The 20,298-nt window shown below is 42.7% G+C and overlaps 1 pseudogene across 1 annotated transcript in view, besides 1 other annotated feature; it reads left to right on the top strand.

The window, feature by feature from the left end:
• CEP192P1 (CEP192 pseudogene 1) overlaps nucleotides 1-20,298 on the top strand; it is a 56,211-nt pseudogene that overhangs the window by 21,211 nt on the left and 14,702 nt on the right. The window contains exons 9-17 of the transcript NR_036494.1: nucleotides 1,262-1,326; nucleotides 1,635-1,803; nucleotides 2,184-2,251; nucleotides 2,873-2,937; nucleotides 3,025-3,111; nucleotides 4,522-4,579; nucleotides 6,222-6,332; nucleotides 10,368-10,422; nucleotides 18,889-19,221. The product of NR_036494.1 is annotated as a CEP192 pseudogene 1 (transcript). The remainder of the gene's footprint in view (nucleotides 1-1,261; nucleotides 1,327-1,634; nucleotides 1,804-2,183; nucleotides 2,252-2,872; nucleotides 2,938-3,024; nucleotides 3,112-4,521; nucleotides 4,580-6,221; nucleotides 6,333-10,367; nucleotides 10,423-18,888; nucleotides 19,222-20,298) is intronic.
• Nucleotides 16,759-16,999: a silencer, noted in NCBI's record as "fragment chr5:175588089-175588329 (GRCh37/hg19 assembly coordinates)". NCBI's record gives its function as "represses an EF-1alpha promoter that drives an FKBP-Casp9 reporter gene in an ReSE screen in K562 erythroleukemia cells {active_cell/tissue: K562}" and the evidence as "EXISTENCE:reporter gene assay evidence [ECO:0000049][PMID:32094911]".

The following is a 20,298-nucleotide window of genomic DNA, read 5'->3' as shown; positions in this document are numbered from 1 at the left end:
TTTACAGTGGAATCTGGCGTGGTCATTAATGTGAGGCACACTTGCAGAGCTCAGGGGGTTTTGGCGGCATGATGGGTTCATTCCTCAGCTCCTGGTGGAGAGCAGAGAATAATCAAGGACATGTCCTGTTGTATTTAAGAACATAGTAACCACAAGCCTTAGAAATGCTGCAGTTCACTAGCACACGCACCTAAGGCACAGCAGCAAACAGGAGCTCAAGGAACAACTTGGGCATTAGCCTGGTGCCCATCTCTCCTGCTGGAATTCCTGCACAGCTGGGATGGAGAGGGTCAGCGCCCCCACCTGCTGCTTCCAGGATGGGCTCTCCCAGTGTCAGAGCCAGTGAGAGCCTGAGCAGTAGCAGACTCCCTGGACGCGTGTGTTGAAGAGGGAGACCGGAAGGACAGATAGCACATGTGACATGTCATGTTTAAATGGTAGGATAATTGTATTTTCAAATCTTTAATTTTGCTTAAAACAGATGTTTGACGGATAAATGTTGTAGAATATTTTGGCTGAATTGCATATTTTTTAAAAGAAGGGCTGATTTTATGATGTAAGAAATCTTCTAGGAGGGGTGATCCACACAGCAGCGCAGGTGGGTCCTGGGAGTAAATGCCCTCAGAAGGGATCAGGAAGGCAGCAGAGGCCGGGAGCGGTGGCTCACATCTGTAATCTGAGTACTTTTGGAGGCCATGGTGGATGTATTGCTTGAGCCCAGGAGTTCGAGACCAGCCTGGGCAACCTGGCAAAACCCCATTTCTACAAAAAAATACAAAAAATCAGCTGGGCTTGATGGGGGCATCTGTAGTTTTAGCGACTTGGAGGCTGAGGCGAAGGATCCACCCGGGCTTGGGAGGTCGAGGCTGCAGTGAGTTGTGATTGAACCACAGCACTCCAGCCTGGGTGACAGTGCAAAACCATCTCAAACAAAAAGTACAACTTAGCTCAGGTTTGAATAGAAGGCTCCCTGAGATGCTGTTGTTGAAACAGCCACATTGTATGGTGTACCCTGTTTGAGATCAGCTTTCACACCGATGAGGGTGGCTTAGCTAGAGAGCCAAGGCTCTGTCTCCCAGGGCTTTCCTGATGGTCTCCTTTGCTTTCCTTCTCCACTAAGGAGGACGGCCAGCAGCTGCTCAGCCTGTGCTGTTATCCCACCTTTTCCACACACGCCAGCCCCCTGTCCACAGCACCCAAAGCTGCCTGAGGGATTCTTCAGCAGCTCCCATGAGCTGACAGTGACTCTTATGTTTCCTAGGTGTCAAGCCTGTGGCAGCAGAGCTTCCTGGGGAGTCCTCAGAGCAAGTCATTGCCATTGTCGAAGTGAGATCTTTCTTTGACTAAGATGGGAATTGTATTTCTCTTGGTTTCTATTTCATTTGAATTAAGATATGCAAACCTTACCATGGACATTATAGATAAGTTACAGAATTTCTTGGTGGGATAATGTGAGAGTTCATGAGCAACTAGGAGCTGGCTCCAGATGGCACGCATAGATGCCACCTTCAGTTACAAACTGTATGCAGATAACATTTTCCTCAGGAGAAATGCTTACTGTTAGAAAATAATGGTGACTTTGCAACAAAAATCATATCGAAAGTCTTAGACGAAACTCTTGTGCCTTTCCACAGGTGTCTTCTAGGCTTTATTTTGGGGCCATTACCTCGAGCACTGTTTCTTGTCTGGTTTCCTAATGTCAGCAACTGAAGAAAAGACCTGTATACACAGGACACAGCATGGTCTGACGCTCACAGTGTTTTCCTTTCTCTCTGCAGAGGGATTCAGCACTTTGGGCAAGTGGTACGTACTCTGGGGTCACCCATTTGCTAAGGAAATATCTTAGTGTTGAGAAAGGTGACACTTTCCCCCCTACTTCTGCTGGAGAGCCACCCTGGTTTGAGCTTCCTGCTAGAAATGAGGTTGGGCAGTTGGGTGTGAAAAAATGAAGAGTTTAGTCAACAACTGTGGCCATCCACTGCAGTTCCCAGAAGCAGTGATGTCATTTAAATAGGAATAGGGTGCATCGGGGTGGGGAGATGTGGAGGAGAGAGTCCGTGTGGAGTGATGGTGAATGTATTTGGGAGTGTGTGCATTTCTCTAGAACATTGATCTTTGGGTCGTGCTTTGCACAGAGGAACATGCTTTCTCTGCACCTCCTGACAGTCACTCTGTCCTCCTAGGTTGCACAGAGGATCCCGTGGAAGAATTCATATATGAATCAGATGAGAATGCCCCAGGACCATCGTAGGTCAGGCCACCTGCTTTTGTCAAAGAAAAAAGATAACCCCTATTTGAATTAAAATATGAGAATCTGACCATATGTATCATAGGTGACTTACACAGTGTCCTTGGTAAGGAGAATTTAGAGTGAGAGTCTGTTCCCCACTGAGGTTTGATTTAAGATGGCAGAAGAAAATGACATCATCAGCCACTCAGCAGCTTGATTCTCTCCTTGGGGCAAAATCACTTAATTGCCAAGCAACATGGACTTACAGGAAACATCCTCCAATAAAAACTTAGGTTTTTAGCATGATTCGGTATGTCCTGTTCTTATTTTGGGTGCTTTTGGGTGGTCTCATCGTGACAGTCAATGTCCTGGGTCTTCAGTGTCTATAAAGTCCCCCTGCAGCCCTCCTGCCCGCTGTCTTGGCATTGCCTCCATTCCTGGTCCCCAGGCTGCAGCGTTGAATCCTGTTGAGCAACCCCACAGGGTTTAGGAAGGGAGCCCGGCTGAGGTCAGAAGAGTTGGCGCCACCCTGCAGGAAGGGTTCCCAGTGACGTCTGGGTCTGCTGTGGCCGCCCCCCTCCGCCCCGGGGCTTTTGCTGCACTGGGGTCTCTGGACATGCGCACTTGTTGTCTTCCTCCCAGATACCAACAAGCCCTCTCCCGGCACCTGCAGAAAAAGTGGGGAAAATCCCCGAAGAGGCAGAAACGTGAGTGTGCAGGGGCGGCATGACCAGGGGAAGGCAGACAATGCCTGTGTGCCCATGGCTGCCCTCATTCTCTTGTTGTCCCATCAGAAAACCTAGTGAGCTGAAGGATGAGGCTGCTGAAGAGCCTGAGCTCACTTGTTGTGGCCTTTGTACTTATGCTGGAAATCCCTAAAGGCAAGTGAAGGATGCCCTGAGAACATCCTCCAGGGAGCAGACAGCCTCTCCATAGCAGCCCCTGAGCCCACCGGGCTGAGCCTTCCATAGGCTGCTTTAATGAGGGAGGGGCTGAGGTGCTGGTCAGGCTACCAGATGCAGGATTCTGAGGGCCATGCAGCGCGTTCCTGTCTGCAGTGCCACTTAAGCTCATTTGAGGGGACCCAGCCCTGCCCTCCATGTCCCCAGAAGACAACAGGGAGGGAGCTTCACCAATTCAACATGAGCAGCCACTGGGTTGATCATGAATCCCCCTGTTGCATGCCTGCTGGGAAAGGTGTGAGAGGGAGGGAGGCAGCCCCAGGCTTCTTGCCACACAAGCAGCCCACCCAGCCCAGCATTGCACACCTGCGGGCACTCAGTAGGTCCTGGCATCAAGAAGGGGAAAGGCCAGGATCCAAGACCCGCTGGGATGTGCCCAGTCCCAGGGACCCCCCAGCCTCCATGGAGCCCTCGGTGCCTCGGGTGGCCTCATGGCCCCATTTCTCAAGATGAGTTTGGAGGCTTCTGTGTGTAGAGAGCACTGATTTGGGCATCAGTGGTTCTGTGTCTGTGTCAGATGCCAACAAAAATACTCGTGAAGACAAGTCAGGGCCATGCTCACTTAGGAGTTGTTGAGGGGCAGGATTCAGGAAGTCACTGTTTTAAATGTATTTTCCAATTTGAAATTAACATATATGAGTGTGTGTTTTTGTGTATTTTATAGATATGTGTGTGTATATATGTACACACACAGTCACACACACACACAGTTTTTTACTCTTTAAAACAGTGGTTTCCATAATCTTTTTATGCTGGAATGTATTAAGTGAGAAATGCATGTTTTAGCAAAGCATTAATGATTTTTTGAATGAAAATGCATAGACAGGGTTGGTGGGGATGTTGGAAGGAACAAGTCTTATTGGGCGATAACAATGATGTGCTCCAGGAAGCGGCACACATTTAACGTGCAGCTCTTCTGTCTGGATGGCGTGGAGGGTCTGGGTGGAGGGGCAGGTCACCACCCCACCCTGTGTCATCAGACCTCCTGCTCCTCCCAGGGCCCGGGGGCATGGGGCTCTGCCTGTTGATCCTTGCTCTTTGTGTTTCAGTATCTGGAGGTCCAGTCCCCTGAAGGCGCCCATGTGCGTGCCTGGGCTCAGTGCCTCCTGCAGGACATTTATAGACACTCTGTGCACAGACAACCCCCTCAGCAGAGAGCAGCACACAGGCCTTGGTGCCCTGTGGGTGGACTCTGGGGAGGCCAGGGGCCCAAGGCCACCTTCTAGGGCCTGAGGAGCCCTCTGAGACCTGCACACCCACCCCAGGGAGCGCCCCTCCCTCCACCTCTGTGCCCCCCCAGTGACTCTCGAACCTCTGTCTGTTTTGCAGATTCATCCGGAAGGGCCGCCAGCCAGTGGATTTCCCGGGCCCCTCAGCCCTCTGGAGTGTACGAGTTTTGGAGAAACCTCTTCCTCTGTATATGCTTTTGACTTTCCTGGACTGATGTAAAAATACTCTTTTCTTTGACCTGTTTATTTTTAAGACACGATGTGATTGTGTCAGCTTATATTTTATTGCTGAAGTAAATTTTCAAATGTTTTATTAGTTTTTTTTGGATCTTTGTCCGCTCATTTTGGAGTTTTTGTAATTTTGATAGGTGTTCTTTTATGCTTTGTATTGTTTTCTTAATGACTTTTACCTTAGTTTTTAACAAACCCATAGTACAGTGTTATACCCAAGCGAGTCAGAGAAAACGCCACACTTTGAGACGAATTAAGAGTCCATTATTGGCCGGGCGCGTGGCTCAAGCCTGTAATCCCAGCACTTTGGGAGGCCGAGGCGGGCGGATCACAAGGTCAGGAGATCGAGACCATCCTGGCTAACACGGTGAAACCCCGTCTCTACTAAAAATATAAAAAATTAGCTGGGCGTGGTGGCGGGCGCCTGTAGTCCCAGCTGCTCAGGAGGCTGAGGCAGGAGAATGGCATGAACCTGGGAGGCGGAGCTTACAGTGAGCTGAGATCGTGCCACTGCACTCCAGCCTGGGCGACAGAGCAAGACTCTGTCTCAAAAAAAAAAAAAAAAAAAAAAAAAAGAGTCGTTTATTTAAGCCAGCGGCCAAAGAGATGGCTAACGCTCAAAATTCTCTCGGCCCTGAGGATGGGGCTTCATTAACTTTTATACCTTGGTTTAGGAAGGGGAGGGGAACTCAAATGCAATAATTCTACAGAAGTAAAAACATGCAAGAATCAAAAAAACAAATGGTTATAGAGGGAGAAACAATTTAAAAGACAAATGGTTACAAAAAAAGCAACGGAACCAGGTGCGGGGCTCTAAATCCTTCATTAGAGTTCGATATGGATGCTCTGCCAGACACGGACTCAAGGCTTTATGCTGTTATCTCTTTGAGCAAAACCCTGGGAACTTCATACATTGTTTGTTCCAGTACCTTATCAGTTAATTGGGCTCCTTTGAAATGCTGAGGATCTGCTTACACAGGTTAACGCCTTGAGGAAGGGGTTTGGGTAAGGAGCCCTTGATGTCTTGTTAATCAAGAGGCCAAATGGAGTTTGTCCGGCTTTCCCAGCTAAGGGAGAGTCTTATTCATATGGGAAACAAGGCTGGGTAATTAAGGAGACAAAAGGGAAAATTTAAAAATAGCGAGTTACAGTAAAAACAAGGTTAGGCATTACAACAGTAAGTTATATTAAGACAATATTTTGGCCGGGCGTGGTGGCTCACGCCTGTAATACTTAGCACTTTGGGAGGCCCGAGGCGGGCAGATCATGAGGTCAGGAGATCAAGACCGTCCTGGCTAACACTGTGAAACACCATCTCTGCTAAAAATACAAAAAATTAGCTGGGCGTGGTGGGGGGGCGCCTGTAGTCCCAGCTGCTCGGGAGGCTGAGGCAGGAGAATGGCGTGAACCTGGGAGGCGGAGCTTGCAGTGAGCTGAGATAGTGCCACTGCACTCCAGCCTGGGCAACAGAGCGAGACTCCACCTCAAAAAAAGAAAAAAAAAAAAGAGAGACATAGTATTTTTAATGTTTTTTAATAGCTTATATTCTGTACATCTTTTCACATGTAGAAATGTTAATGGCTGGGCGCAGTGGCTCACGCTTGTAATCCCAGCACTTTGGGAGGCTGAGGCGGGAGAATCACTTGAGCCCAGGAGTTGGAGACCAGCCTGGGAAACATGGTAAGACCACATCCCTACTAAAAAAAAAAAAAAGTTTATGTATATATATAAAATTATCTGGGCACACTGGCACATGCCTATAGTCCCAGTTGCCTGGGAGGCTGAGGCAGGAGGATTGCTTGAGCTCAGGTGGTCGAGGCTGCAGTGAGCCATGATCGCACCACCGCACTCCAGCCTGGGTGACAGAGTGAGACCCTGTCTCTGAAAAAAAAGTGCTTGTTTATATTAATATTAGTTAGAAGTCTACTTGTTTATAGCAGAATTAAACTGGTTTATAGCAGATACAAGCTCTTGGAGGAAAATACTACACTTCATTCCAGGCCCTGAGTCCTTAGTAACTGGCTGTGTGCCCTGTAGGGCTCTACGGTTCCTGGTTGAGGAGCAGAGAGATCAATTGCTCCAGTGTAAGGGGCGAAGAGTTCCTTAGGGAACGGCTGCTGGGCCCAGCTTTGCTATTGTCTTCGCTTTCTAGTAAGCCTTGTGTTGCTGAGGTCCAGCTGTGTGAGTATTAACACACTAACGGTATTGCAAGCTTCTCCGAGCACGTGCAGGCAATTGGCGAGAAGCTTAATATGTGTAAGCAGTGTGAGAGAAGCCTTTTAAGGGTGTTTTCTTGGGTGGGTCAGGTGAGGGAAATGGCATGGGGTTAAGAAGGAAACTGATTAATTCATGTAAAACTGCCATCCCTTCATCACCTGAGTTGTGATGTGCAGGCACTGAGCACACTGCAGGTTGAGAACATACGTGGGTCTTTATTGCAGCCTTGTGCTGTGCTCTTCAGAGCCGTGAGTGTGCTGCTCTTACTCACCATGTGGTTTCTCATAGATTGTTGTGTTTGATGCTGGAAAACATTTTGAAGACAAGACTCCAAACAGCGACGTATGCCACACTAGCTGATTAGAAAATGAGAAACTTATGTTATCAACAGGCTTGGAAGATTCTTGTGGTCCTGCAGTCACCCACATTTCCCTGGTCTTCATCTTGCCACTCCGCTTTATTCTCCTTTTCTGTTGCAGTAGCTATAATGCCACAACTTTTTGTTTTTTTCTCCCCTTTTCTTCCTTCCTGCCAGCACTCAAATGGCCACTCGTATTAAGTGATGGAATTCCACAATTTTTTTCTGTATATTAAACCTGATACTATTTCACTCAGTTTATCATCGTTAGGGTGCAAAGTAGTCACCTAGAGGTGCCACTCAGTATATAGCACTGTGTTTAGAAATTTAGGGAGCCGTGAAGTATTTAGCCTCTGCTCTCTGAGACTTCAGCCAGGTGCAAAGAGCAGATACAGAGCTGAATGTGAGGTTGAGTTACTTACATCCAGCAGTACCAGAATGTGCCTGGGAATCATGGGGGTGAAAAATTAACTCTGACTGAGGCAGGTATCTCTGATGCTTTTTGGAAGGAGGATGGGGTCTGTGCCAGGCCTTGGATGTGGGAGAAGGAGGAGCTGTCAGGAAGCAGCAGTGGCCTCAGCAACGGCACTGTTGTGAGGAACGTGGGCTGTGTTTGGGGAACAGCCAGGGGTTTTGTGTGGCAGGTTTACAGCACCTGTAGGAGACTGCATTGGTAAGTAAGCCCAGAAAAGTAGGCTGGGGCCAAATTATGCATGACTTTGAAGGTCAATCTGATGAGTTGAGTGGGATAAATAGAAACTATAAGTAGCATCACCTCCATTGAGGACAGGTTTTGCTGCCAAGAGATTTTTTAGACTTTGTTGGATTGTGTAATTGTGGATGAAGAATTATTGACCTGAATGTATTTGATCTTTGATTGTTTTAGTATGCCAGATTCTTGGAGGTGAAATTGCTAAGTCAAGGTGATGAGTGTTGTTGAGACTTAATGTTGACTGCAAAATTAACCTCTAAAAAGGCAGTGCCAGCTTAGAAGACCATGACTGACTGAGAGTTCTTGTTTTATCTCGACCTTGCAGAGCTGGGTGTTACAACATCGAGAACCCCTGCAGGTCCTCTTTCTCTCCCTCCCTCCCCCCTGCTCTCCCTCCCTTCCCCTCCCTCCCTCCCCCTCTCTCTTCCTTGGTTCTTCCCTTTCTTCCTTTTACTTCTCCTATGATAGGCTCTCATTTTCTGAAGAGCCTGCTGCTCTCTTCCCATTTATTTATGATGCCACATTTATCACATTCTTTTTTTTTTTTTGAGACAGAATCTCACTTTGTCATTGAGGCTGGAGTGCAATGGTACGATCTTGGCTCACTGCCACCTCTGCCTCCTGGGTTCAAGGGATTCTCCTGCTTCAGCCTCCTGAGTAGCTGGGATTACAGGCATATGCCACCACACCCAGCTAGTTTTTATATTTTTAGTAGAGACAGGGTTTCACCATGTTGGCCAGGCTGGTCTTGAACTCCTGACCTCAGGTGATGCATCCACCTCGGCTTCCCAAAGTGTTGGGATTACAGGCGTGAGCCACTGTGCCCAGCCACATCCTAACTTTTGATAACATGCCAGGATCTTTCTTTCATGTCCTCTCAAAGAGGTTAAATATTATTTTCATAATGAGTTATAATTGAGTTTTCTCATGTCAAATGTAAAAACAAAATCATATAGTTCATTGACTCACTTATGTCTTACCAGCCTTTTTATTACAAATTATTGTATAGTCAACGCTTTAAAGTGTGTCCTATTTTTTCCTAAGTTTTATCAATAGATGATGATATTGATGATGAAATGTTTGATGATGATCATTTAAAGGCTTATTTTGAATAACTGGCAATTCCATGAGTGATGGTATTAAACATATGAAGATCTAGAAGGACTGGAGCCTCCGGAAAAAGACTGGACATTACCTGCAAGTGCTCCTAGTCAGGAATGTTCCAGTCTTTATGGCTTTTCCGAAATTTGGCATTAGAAAATCACTATCGTCCTCATTGGATGTTCACATGAAATTTAAGCCTCTGGTTGTCTTTGGACTCCATTTTTTCCAGGTATGAATTAATGAGGAATGCCTGCCTTTTCTTCCTTCTTCCTACCTCTCCCTCAACCTACAGAAAATTCAAAGGCTAACACAATGGAGATTTACATATTCTTCATCCAGATTCACCAGTTGCTAGTGTTTGCCACCTTTGCGTTTTTTCTGTCTTCATACTTTCTTCCCTGAGTCATTTGAAAGTAAATTGCAGAGAACATGACATTTTACCCCAATACTTCAGCATCTATCTCTTGTGAATCAGGACATCTTTCTCCATAATCACAATTCTATTATCTAACTTTGATACAATAATTTAAATTAATATACCATCCACATTGAAATTTATGTGATTATCTCCCAAATGTCCTTTATTTGTATTGTTTTCGATCCACAGTTTAATCAGAGATTAACCTCGCCTTTGGTTGTCATATTTCTGTATTCTCTTTTAATTTGGAGTCATTCTTTCATGACGTGTGAAACATTTTGTAAAATCTAGGCTCTTTGTTTTTCAGAGTGATTCGCAATCTAGATACATCTGATTGCTCCCCTGCCTGGACTAGATGAGATTAAGCATTTTTGCAAGAATACAGATTAAACAGTTTCCTAATGAGTGGATTCAGATTAAACATGGGCAGCGTGGTGTACTTCTTAGTGCCTCACACCAGGAGACGTTTGAGTCTGTCTGTCCCATAATTTGTGATGCTGTATTTGGTAATTTTGGCCAAGGTGGAGTCAGCTAGGCATCTCTTTGTGAAGGTAGCCTTTCCCCTTTGTTATTAGTCAGTCATCTGTGGGATGAGACATGAAAGCCCTGTGAACATCCTGTTCCCTGACAACCCTTCAGAGCTGGTTTCAGTGCCACTGCTGAAGCCTCTGGGAAACGTTGATTACACTCACGGTGACGGTGGCAATTTCTTGAATTCCTTCTACATTGACTGCCTGCGTTATTCAGTGAAGCAGACATGGCCTATTCCCTACATTTGCCCCTTGAAAATGTTCAATTTTAATTTAAAAGATTAATACAGCCAGGATATTCTTTCAACAGGCAAATAAAAACCGCAGTTTAAACTCTAAGTTTCAATCAGAAACTAACAGCTCTTGGATTTCCCAGGGCTCACACTCCTCTGAAACAACTCACGAAGAGCCTGAGGAAGCAGTTCTCACTGGTAAGTGGGCCAGTTTATTTGTCTCCCTGGGACTAGTAAGTACGAAACAGTTCTTTTGTTCTTAAATTCTAAGTTTGACTTCACCTTTAAAAAATTATTTCTTTGGTATGATTTAGCATGTATTAACCCTTTTCCACTCCCTCAAGTCTAAAACTTTTCAAAAGAACTTTTAAGAATACCTGGGTAATTGGTGTTATTAGAAATACCATAGTCTGTATTTCTTGGGCTGAATGTTATGAATGATTGTATTCTACCCAGACATCGAGAATTAGCTGTGAATTCTCTCATATGGTAGTAGTTTATCATGTTTATTATTGCCTCTTACTGTTGTGTATTTTCTCTCTATGCAAATTGTGGAGTTTGTCATATGAATGCCAAGTATTAGGTTTACATAAAAGAATGATTTGACAAGAAGGATGCAGTTATTATATTAGATTGCTCAGATTGGACGTTGCTCCATTAACTGTATTTTTCAGGTAATTCTGTAGTTACTGGAGGTAGTAGAAGGCACACAGATCATGCCATTTCCCTCTAGTGCTTGGATAATTGAGAAAGAAATGGCAGAAAAATGTGAATGGTATTTCCAGACCTTAGCAGGGTAAGTTATGCTTTAGATGTCCTATGAAGGGCATAAGGAGTCTTTTGTGTTTGTATGATACCAGTTTTTTTCAAAGAAACAATTCCTGTTGACATCTGAAAACTATAGAAAAAGTATAAAAAATTACTACAATAATGTTTCTGTATGTAAGTTTCTTTCACATAATTTTCTTACATTTAAATATTTAATGTCTTGTGTTTAGATCATTCATGTGGAAAGTTCTTTGGCCCAATGTCAAGACATTAAATAAAAAGCAAACAGACCTTTTACCTCGCTCAAGCATATTTGTTTTTCATTGTTTCTGTTTTTTCTGTTGGTTAATACCACCCCATTTTTTCTGTGCTTGAGACTTGGTCAGCATTTCTGACCCTTACCTATTCATTATGCCCTTTGTTAGTAATGTACGACTCACGACTGTAGAATGGCGTTTACTATTTGGAGGGAGTGTGTGTGCTATGGAGACAGTCATTCCATCCTCACAGAATTCTATGAGTGGACTAAAGCAGCAAGAGACAGGATTGTCATCTTAAGGGAGATGAGGTTCAGAAGGCCTAAATCCTGTCAGTACAGCCTCAAGCCTTGCCTTAAAGATTTTTCTTTCTTGTTTATTTCATTTACACCAATTCAAGTTCAAGGTGCTAATTAACACATCTAATTCATTGCCCCATCTACAGTGTCTCACTACTCCGTCATGCTTGAAAGCAGCAGATTAATCTTGTTACAGTGGCTTTTTTTGTGTATAATATTCTCTATGTCCCTATGTTTCATATTAACAGTTCTTAAGGTATTGTTTCATCTGGTCCCACATTATCTGTCTCTTTTACTTTCTACATTTTTCTCTCTTCTGTCCCTAATCCAAATTATAACCATCTTTCCAGTCTTTGGTCATGTCTTGAGTTACTTTTTAATCATTTTAGACTACATGAACTGATCTGAACTCCTATTAGAGTAACTGTATTCCACAGTATAGTACTTTATTATGGGTAGAAATGCATCACTTACCTAGAAGTTGCCTATTCAGCAGCTTCAAGAATTTGTAATTAACCAGAGGAAGCAGTTACATAGAAATAAAATACAAAGGCATTTTCTCAGGCAGCCAGGATGAGTGTTCCAGAGTCCGTGGGTTTTCCTCCCAGTGCTGTGCTGTAGACACTGGGACATGTGTGTAACCGTGATGTGCGATACCATTGATGTGTATGTGTAGGCAACAGTGCAGAGTTTTGTAATTTTAATCTATTTAGTTAATGGATTTCCAGCCCTCAGCCAGTTGGAGGTAGCAAATTAGGAATAAGAAAGAGATAACAGGCCAGGCATGGTGGCTCATACCTGTAATTCTAGCAGTTTGGTAGGATAAGGCAGGGGGATTGCTTGAGCCCAGGAGTTCAAGACAGCCTGGGAGACCCTGTCTCTACACACAGACACACACACACACAGACACACACACACATGCACAGCATGCCTATAGTCCCAGCTACTTGGGAGGCTTAGGCGGGAGGATCACTTGGGCGCAGGAGGTGGAGGCTGCAGTGACAGAGTGAGACCCTATCTCACAAAAGGAAAAACAGAAGAGAGATAGCATCTATTAGTTTTGATTTTTGTCAAAATGTGATTGTTGATAAGCTTTATAAATAGGTCAATCTGTGGTGACTTAATTTTGGGCTAACATCTTGTTCTGCTATAGTACGGCAACTATTTGATAAATGACTATTGAAAACAATATATTTAGTTTGAATACGGTTGAGTCTCACAAATTGTTGGGGAATCTTGGTCAGGTTGTTTCAAATGAGAGAATGATCAGGAGCCTTCTGAGTGATAGGTGTGCTGCTTGGTGGTGTAGGTCATATGTAGATAATCTCCCTTCTGAAAACTTAGTAGGAAAATAAAAGAAATACTTGGATAACTGTAAAATAACTTGATTAAAGCAGAATCCGCGTCATTGGATCATGTAGCGCCTACTGAGAGAAGTTCTCAAGTTCTGATTGAGTTCTAAAAATTTTTGGCTGTTGGAATTCTTCATGTGTGAGTACAAACATAATTTCTGATGATCCATTTCTAGTCCATCTCCGAAGAAAGTATTTAACCTGGACCAGGCATGATGGCTCACTCCTGTAATCTCAGCACCTTTGGAGGTGGAGGCATGAGGGTTGCTTGATGCCAGGAGTTTGAGACCAGCCTGGGCAACATAGCAGGACCCTGTCTCTACAAAAAATTTAAAAACTAGCTGGATGTGGTACTGCATGCCTGTATTCCTAGCTACTTGGGAGGCTGAGGCAGAAGGATCACTTGAGCCCAGGAGTTGGAGGCTACAGAAAGCTATGATCTAAGCACAGCACTCCAGAGCAATACCCTGTCTTTAGAAAAAAAAAAGAAAAAGCCAAACAAACAAACAACAAAAAAAGAAAGTGTTAAATCCATAAGATGTCCGCGTATGTAGGAGCCTCCCAGCTCTCTGATCCTGAAGCCGTGAAGGGAGGCAGGTAGTGTGGAGGCCAGTGCAGCCTCACCTCTGGCAGCTGAGGATCAGGGCAGAATGTGGAATGAACATCCACATCAAAGCTTGATTGCTTGGGTGGCATAAAAATCTCTACCTGTAGGTCAGCCTTAAAATACATTACTTTATAAAGTGATGATGATTCCCCTAATTTGAGGCCATGCAGTTTGTGTTAACTGAGAGAACCATATTGTGTCCTTGATTTAATAAGTAGCCTGCCTTCCTTATTGTATGACCTCTACAGAACTTAGAAATACAAGCTACCATACTAAGCAAATTTCTTTCTCACTTTCTGTCTTGATAAATTTGCCTACTCTGGGTAACCTCATGTGAGGGGAATCATACAACATTTGGCTTTCCTATTCTGGCTTATTTCATTTAGCACGATGTCTTCAAGGTCTACTCATGTTGTAGCATATGTCAAAATGTCATTTTTTATGGTTGAATAATATTCCATTGTATATATGACTTTTTTTCTCTCTTCATCTGTCAATGGGCAGTTGGATGTTTTGAGTCTTCTGGCTTTTGAGTATAATGCTGCTGTGAATATTGGTGTACAAATACCTGTGCAAGTCCCTGCTTTCAGTTTATTTAAATATATATGCAGAGGTGAAATTGCTGGGTCCTGTGGTAGCTCTATGCTTAATGTTTTGAGGAACTGCCACGCTGTTTTCTCCAGCAGCTGCACCAGTTTCCATCCACCAGCAAAACGGCAGGGTTCCAACTTCTCCACATCCTAAATGACACTTTTACCCCCTTCTTTTTATTATCGTTATCCCAATAGGTGTGAGGTGGTGGTACATCACTGTGGTTTGGATTTGCATTTCCCTGATGACTAGTGATGTTGAGCATCTTTTCATGTAATTATTGGCCATTTGTATGACTTCCTTGGGGAGCTGTTCATTTAAGTCCTTTGCTCAGTTTTTAATTGAGTTGTTTGGCTTTTTGTTGTTGAATTGTAGAGTTCTTTATGTCATCTGGATATTAATTCCTTAACAGATATATGATTTATAAATATTTCATTCTGTAGGTTGTCTTTCACTTTCTTGATATTAGTCTTTCATGTGCGAAAATTTTTAATTACGATATAGTGTTATTATCTATGTTTTCTTTTGCTCCCTGTGCTTTTGTTGTCATATCCACGAAGTTGTGAAATTCAACGTTGTAAAGGATTAAGCCTTCATCAACACACAGGATGGATGCCTTTCCATTTGTTTAGGTTTTCTTTCTTTTAACAGTGTTTTGTAGTTTTCAGCATGTCTTTTGCTTCCTTGACTAAACTTATTCCGAAGTACTTAATTTTTTTAGATGCTATTATAAATGGAATCACTTTCTTAATTTATATTTTAGATTGTTTATTATTGGTGTTTAGAAACGCCTGATTTCTGTGTATCGATCTTGTGCCCTTCAATGTTGAATTTATTTACTAGCTCCAGTAGCTCTCTTGTGGATTCTTTGGGATTTTATGCATATAGGATGATGTAATCTGCAGAGAGAGATACTTTTACAACTCTTTCCAATTTGCATGCCTTTTATTTCTTTTCCTTCTAATCGCTGTCTGTGATTTCCAGTACACTATTCAGTAGCAGCAATTTAAGCAGGCATCATTTCTTGTTCCTAATCTTATAGGGATAACTTTCCATCTTTATCATTCAGTATGATGTTAGCTGTAGATTAAAACAAATACCCTTTATCATGTTGAGGAATTTCCCTTCTATTTCTAGTTTTCTGAGAGTTTCTATTATAAAAAGGTGTTGGATTTTGTCAAATGCCTTTTTTTTTTTGCATTGTTTAAGGTGATCATATAGTTTTATTAATGTGATTTATTACATTTATTGGCTTTCTTATGTTGAACCACATTGTCATTCCTGGGATACAGCCCAGGAATGGTGTATCCTGGTTATGGTGAATACTTTTTTTTTACATGCTGTTTGATTTTTGAATACCAAAAAAAAAAAAAAGAAAAAGAAAAAAGAAAGAAAAGAAATGCAGCTCCTTTAAGTCTCCTAAAGGCTGCTTCAGCCAGTGGGTTTGAAACAGTGATGGGCAGCTTCTGTGTACCTATCCCGGGCAATCAGAAGCAGCAATTTGCAGTCAGGACATAGAACCCTGATAAAGCGGAGGCAAGGTTCTATTGCCAAATGTGGCTCCAGCCATCTGCCCTAGAAACACAGATTACTTTCTCTACACTTGTTGGCCGTGAGCCTGGGGCTGGGTAGCCACTGTTATGCTGAAGCCTGAAGTTGGTCCACATTAACTGCACTTTACCAGCTAAGCTTTTTCCCTGGTAGCTGGAAGTGTTCAAAGAGACCTCAGAGTTCTAACAGTTACTCCAGAGAGTCTTTTTTCAGTACACTATGGTTGTTGACTAGGTGGAGACACACATTTCTGGCACTTTCTACTTTGCCATCTTTCCTAATGTCACTTCTTGTTATCTTTTCATTTCTAATGTTATAGGCAAATAATCAGAATTTGGTTTGGAAAATCTAACTAATTTAAATGTTTAAGGTTATCTATATAATATATATATTTCATGGATCTAAGAAGATGAACTAAATGCGTTTTTGAGGGGTTTTAGCTTTACATGGTTTTAGTTCAGCATTTTATATGATTCCATTTTCTCTTTTTTAGCATATGAGACATAATTCTTTGTTTCCACTTTTTTAGTGGTTGCTCTAGTATTTGCAACATACATCAATAATTAATCCATGCTCACTTTCAAATGACATTATCCTGCTTCCACAGTAGTTTGAGTACCTCATAGTAACAAAAGATTTCTAATTCCTAAGCATAATGTGCTTAATATAACTGTGTTTTTCACCTTTTTCTAAATTGTAACTTTCTCTTGCTAGCTGGACACCATATATTAAGTAAAAAGAACAGCTTTCAACATGTTGCGGTAAAACGTTGGAGAGGGGAAGCATTCCACAGTTCTGGGATGTGGTCCCAGTCTTTCAGTGAGCCTGTGCCTTTGGACTGTGCACTTCACAAGTGTGTCTCGGTCTTTCTCCCTCTCAGGTTGAACAGGGTGGCTAGAGGGAAATGGAGTTGGGTATTTCCCTTCCTCTAGGCTAGTTAGGCTCAGCTAAAACCCCAGCAGGTTAGGCTCTGGTTAGTCAGTTTTCCTGAGGACTGACCTAATTAAGAACAAAGTGCCATGTCATATTTCAAAGTGGCCCCTTTCCCCCTCCCTGCTGGAAGTCCAGAGGGATTTTTCTCCAATATTTGCTGTGAGAACCTGGTCATGTTCCTGGAGATAAAACTCACAAAAGCATAGGGGCCCACCTATGACTGGGCCCCCTGGAGTTTTTTGTTTTGTTTTGTTTTGTTTTGTTTTGTGTTTTTTAGTAGAGACAGGGTTTCACCGTATTAGCCAGGGTGGTCTCGATCTCCTGACCTCGTGATCTGCCCGCCTCGGCCTCCCAAAGTGCTGGGATTACAGGCGTGAGCCACCGCGCCCGGCCTGGAGTTTTTAAGCCTCAGACTTTTCCACACTGAGCGTGCAGCAGTTCCTCGATTGCATTTCCGGCTTTCCTACGCTGGCTGTGGCTACTGTGGGGGCCTCTGCTTGGGAGTTTATGCTCCCATATGTTATAATTCTCTGCATTCATCTATCTCTCTCTCCAGCTTTGGAGGCGGTGGTTTGTGCCGTGACTTCACTTCTCTCAGAGATCTCAGAAGAATTGTTGACTTGTCAGTTTGTTCATCTTTTTACTTGTTGTTGGGATGGAGTGTTGACTTCCAAGCTCTTGATGTGCAGAACTGGAAGCTAGAAGTTACAACTGCATTTTTCATTCAAGATTATTTCAAGTTGCTTTGCGGGCGAGACAGCTGGTTTTTCACATTGTGCTTCTTTTTCATCTTTGCAAGTGTCGTATATGAAAAGTAGTTGTCTAGTTTTACATGGTGTTTCTTTGTCATCTTTGTCCTTTTTCTATTGGGGTATTCATATCTTAACTATCAGTTTTGTGAGGTTTCTATGTTATGGAAATATATTGATCTTTATGCATTTCAGCCTTTAATGTATGTCAGTTTCCTAGGCTTGCCAGAACAAATTACCACAGTCATGCTGGCCTAAAACAACAGAAATTTATTCCCTCAGGTTTCTGGAAGCCAAAAGTTTGAAATCAAGATATTGACAGGGTGGTGCTCCCTCCAAAGGCTCTAGAGGAAAATCCCCCCTGGCTGTCTCAGCTTCTGGTGGCTCCTGACATTCCTTGGCTTGTAGCAGCATCATTCCATTCTTGTCTTTCTGTTCACTTGGCCTTGATGTCTCTGTCTGAAAATTTTCCTTCTTTTCTCTGATAAGGACATTGGTCATTGTGCTTAAGATCCACCCCAAATCCAGGAAGACCTCATCTGAAGATTCTTAAGTAAATTGCATCTGCAAACACCTTGTTCTAGAATAATAATATGACAATTTATAGTTACCAGGCTCAGGACTTGAATGTATCTTTTTGGAGGGACACAGTTCAGACCATTAGAGTATTATACTTAGATGTTATCTACTGAAGACTATAAGCTAATTAATCTGTATCTTCTTCTAATACTTTCACATCTCAATCTTTACGTCAGCATGCTTTATTTAGCATTTTAATGTTGTAACTTCCGGAAGCTGAGCCTTATCAGGTCGTTCCCTTTCTTGCTCATCTTACAGCAGAAGGGGCTGCTGTTAATAGGTTTTATTGGTCCTTGAGACCACGGTGACAGCCAAATGTCCACAAGCAGTACTGAAGACATCTGAGCCCCTTTTCAGCAGTTACAATTTTAGGAGAGACTAAGACGTGCCACTTGGAAAGATGTGATGGAGAGCGTAATTTTAAGGCACTGGCTAAATTTGCTGTGTCTGCTACAAATTTTATTGGACTGCTCAGGGGCATTTGTAGTATCCACTATTTTACTCCTACGAAGAGACACTAATATCTGTGTTTTCAGGGGCCGTTACTCGTATTAACTTTAGGAGGTTGGTCACACTAATGGGCTGACCACCCTTGTAGAGACATTGGTGGGTCATGATAAAAGTTAAGCTGACATTTCTATCATTCTCTCATGAAACGGATACACAAGACCCACTTTGGTATCTGAACCTGTTGATATCTGGGGCCCAGGGGTTGGGAGCCCTGATGTAATGGAACCTGAGGCCACTTTCAGCATCTGAATCCGTCGATGTGTGTGTTTTTCATGACCACATCATAGCTTTTGGTTTGGTCAGCTGCTTATGTTTGGTTCACATGTAGTCTGGAATACAGTCAAGAGTGTATATTGTTCCTTCAAATAATACAACTTTTATATCAACTGTATAATTTTCCCATAAATTTTAGTATGAGTTATGAAACATAAAACTTACTATTGCTCTGTTACTGATTCTCTCTTAAAGGAAAATGCAAGAAAGTATGTTCCGGTGAAGACCCTCAGCTCTGTTCATTTTCATGATGCAAATGCCCACAAAGGTGGTTTTGACCTGACTGACCCTGTGCAAGGAGGCACAGTCTCCTCACCAGCATAAGCACGTGGCATCAGATGCGGAGACAGTTTTGGACGTGGATGGATGTTTACACACTGAGACTCCTTCAGTGTCCCTTCAAGAAAATGTGGACACAATGTCTCTGAAGCCTGTTAGTGACCATAGAATTAATTTCACTAATACCTTTCGGTCACCGACTCCTGAAAAGAGAACACGTGAATATCATGAGTCCGTTGAAAAAAGACAGTAAGTGGGCTTGAAAAAACAGAATAAAAGAAACACAAGTTTTCATTTTGATCAAGGTTAAAAGGATGCAGTTAAGGAACAGCTGCCTTCCACCTGAATGAGCCACTAGATGCTAAAACACTTTTGCTTGTCTGTAAACATGTGAATACAATTAGGTTTATATTACTTTGAAGAAACTATTGTGTTATCTAAATTTGTAACGTCACATTTGAGAGACTCAGTGATTAAAAACAGCTATTTTCACTGTAGTTAAATATGCCTTTGATTCTGATTTTCAAACAAAAAGAAAATATACTTTTAGTAAAAATGTGTCTCAGAGGAACACTATTACAGTTTTTCCACTTTTATTAAGTGGTTCTCTGCTCACTCCCTTTTTCCCCACCAGAATTGCGGAGGACTCAGGTATTCCTATTAACAGATAAGTTATTCCTTTCCTAACCTCTTTTAAGATATACAAGCACATAGATTCCAAGTACAAACCTTTCAAAGTAGGAAAATGTCCTTCTCAATATATTCCCGTGTTCTCACGGCTTCGATACCCAGGGAATCTTATTTAAATTGGTTCACTGGAGGCAGTACCTACAGGGTATTTATAACAAACATGAAAAATATGTCGCTAGTTATCAGGGATGCAATTTTTCAACAAGTTCTTTGATTTGCTTCATGTCCTTTCACTTACACCTAACTTGATGAAAAAATCCAAGAACATCTAAAACGAATCATGCCCAAATTGAAAGGCCGTATTTGTCCTATCTGAACTAACATTTATGTTGCAGTAGTTCTGTTGCACTTTCATACTGTAATAGGATGTTAAAATCAAATTCTTCCTCTCACTTTTGACTGAGGCTTTTAGATAGATTCCAACCACTTCCAATAGGTGCTAACCACTCCCAAATTCCAAGCTTGTGGTATAAACTTTAAAAGTACATTTAGGTTTTCTCCCGAGTTCCTGACACAGAGCTTCACAAACCCTAGGAATTTCCTGAATAAGAGTGTCTTTCATTACTCATACAAACCCCTTTGGACTATACCTGAATTTATGCCAGCAAGATGGCTCATGGATGTGGGGCGGGGAGA

Source organism: Homo sapiens, chromosome 5 (assembly GCF_000001405.40).
Source record: "Homo sapiens chromosome 5, GRCh38.p14 Primary Assembly".
Classification (NCBI taxonomy): domain Eukaryota; kingdom Metazoa; phylum Chordata; class Mammalia; order Primates; family Hominidae; genus Homo; species Homo sapiens.
Note: the sequence above shows the minus strand (reverse complement) of the source record. Positions and strands in the feature narration are given on the sequence as shown.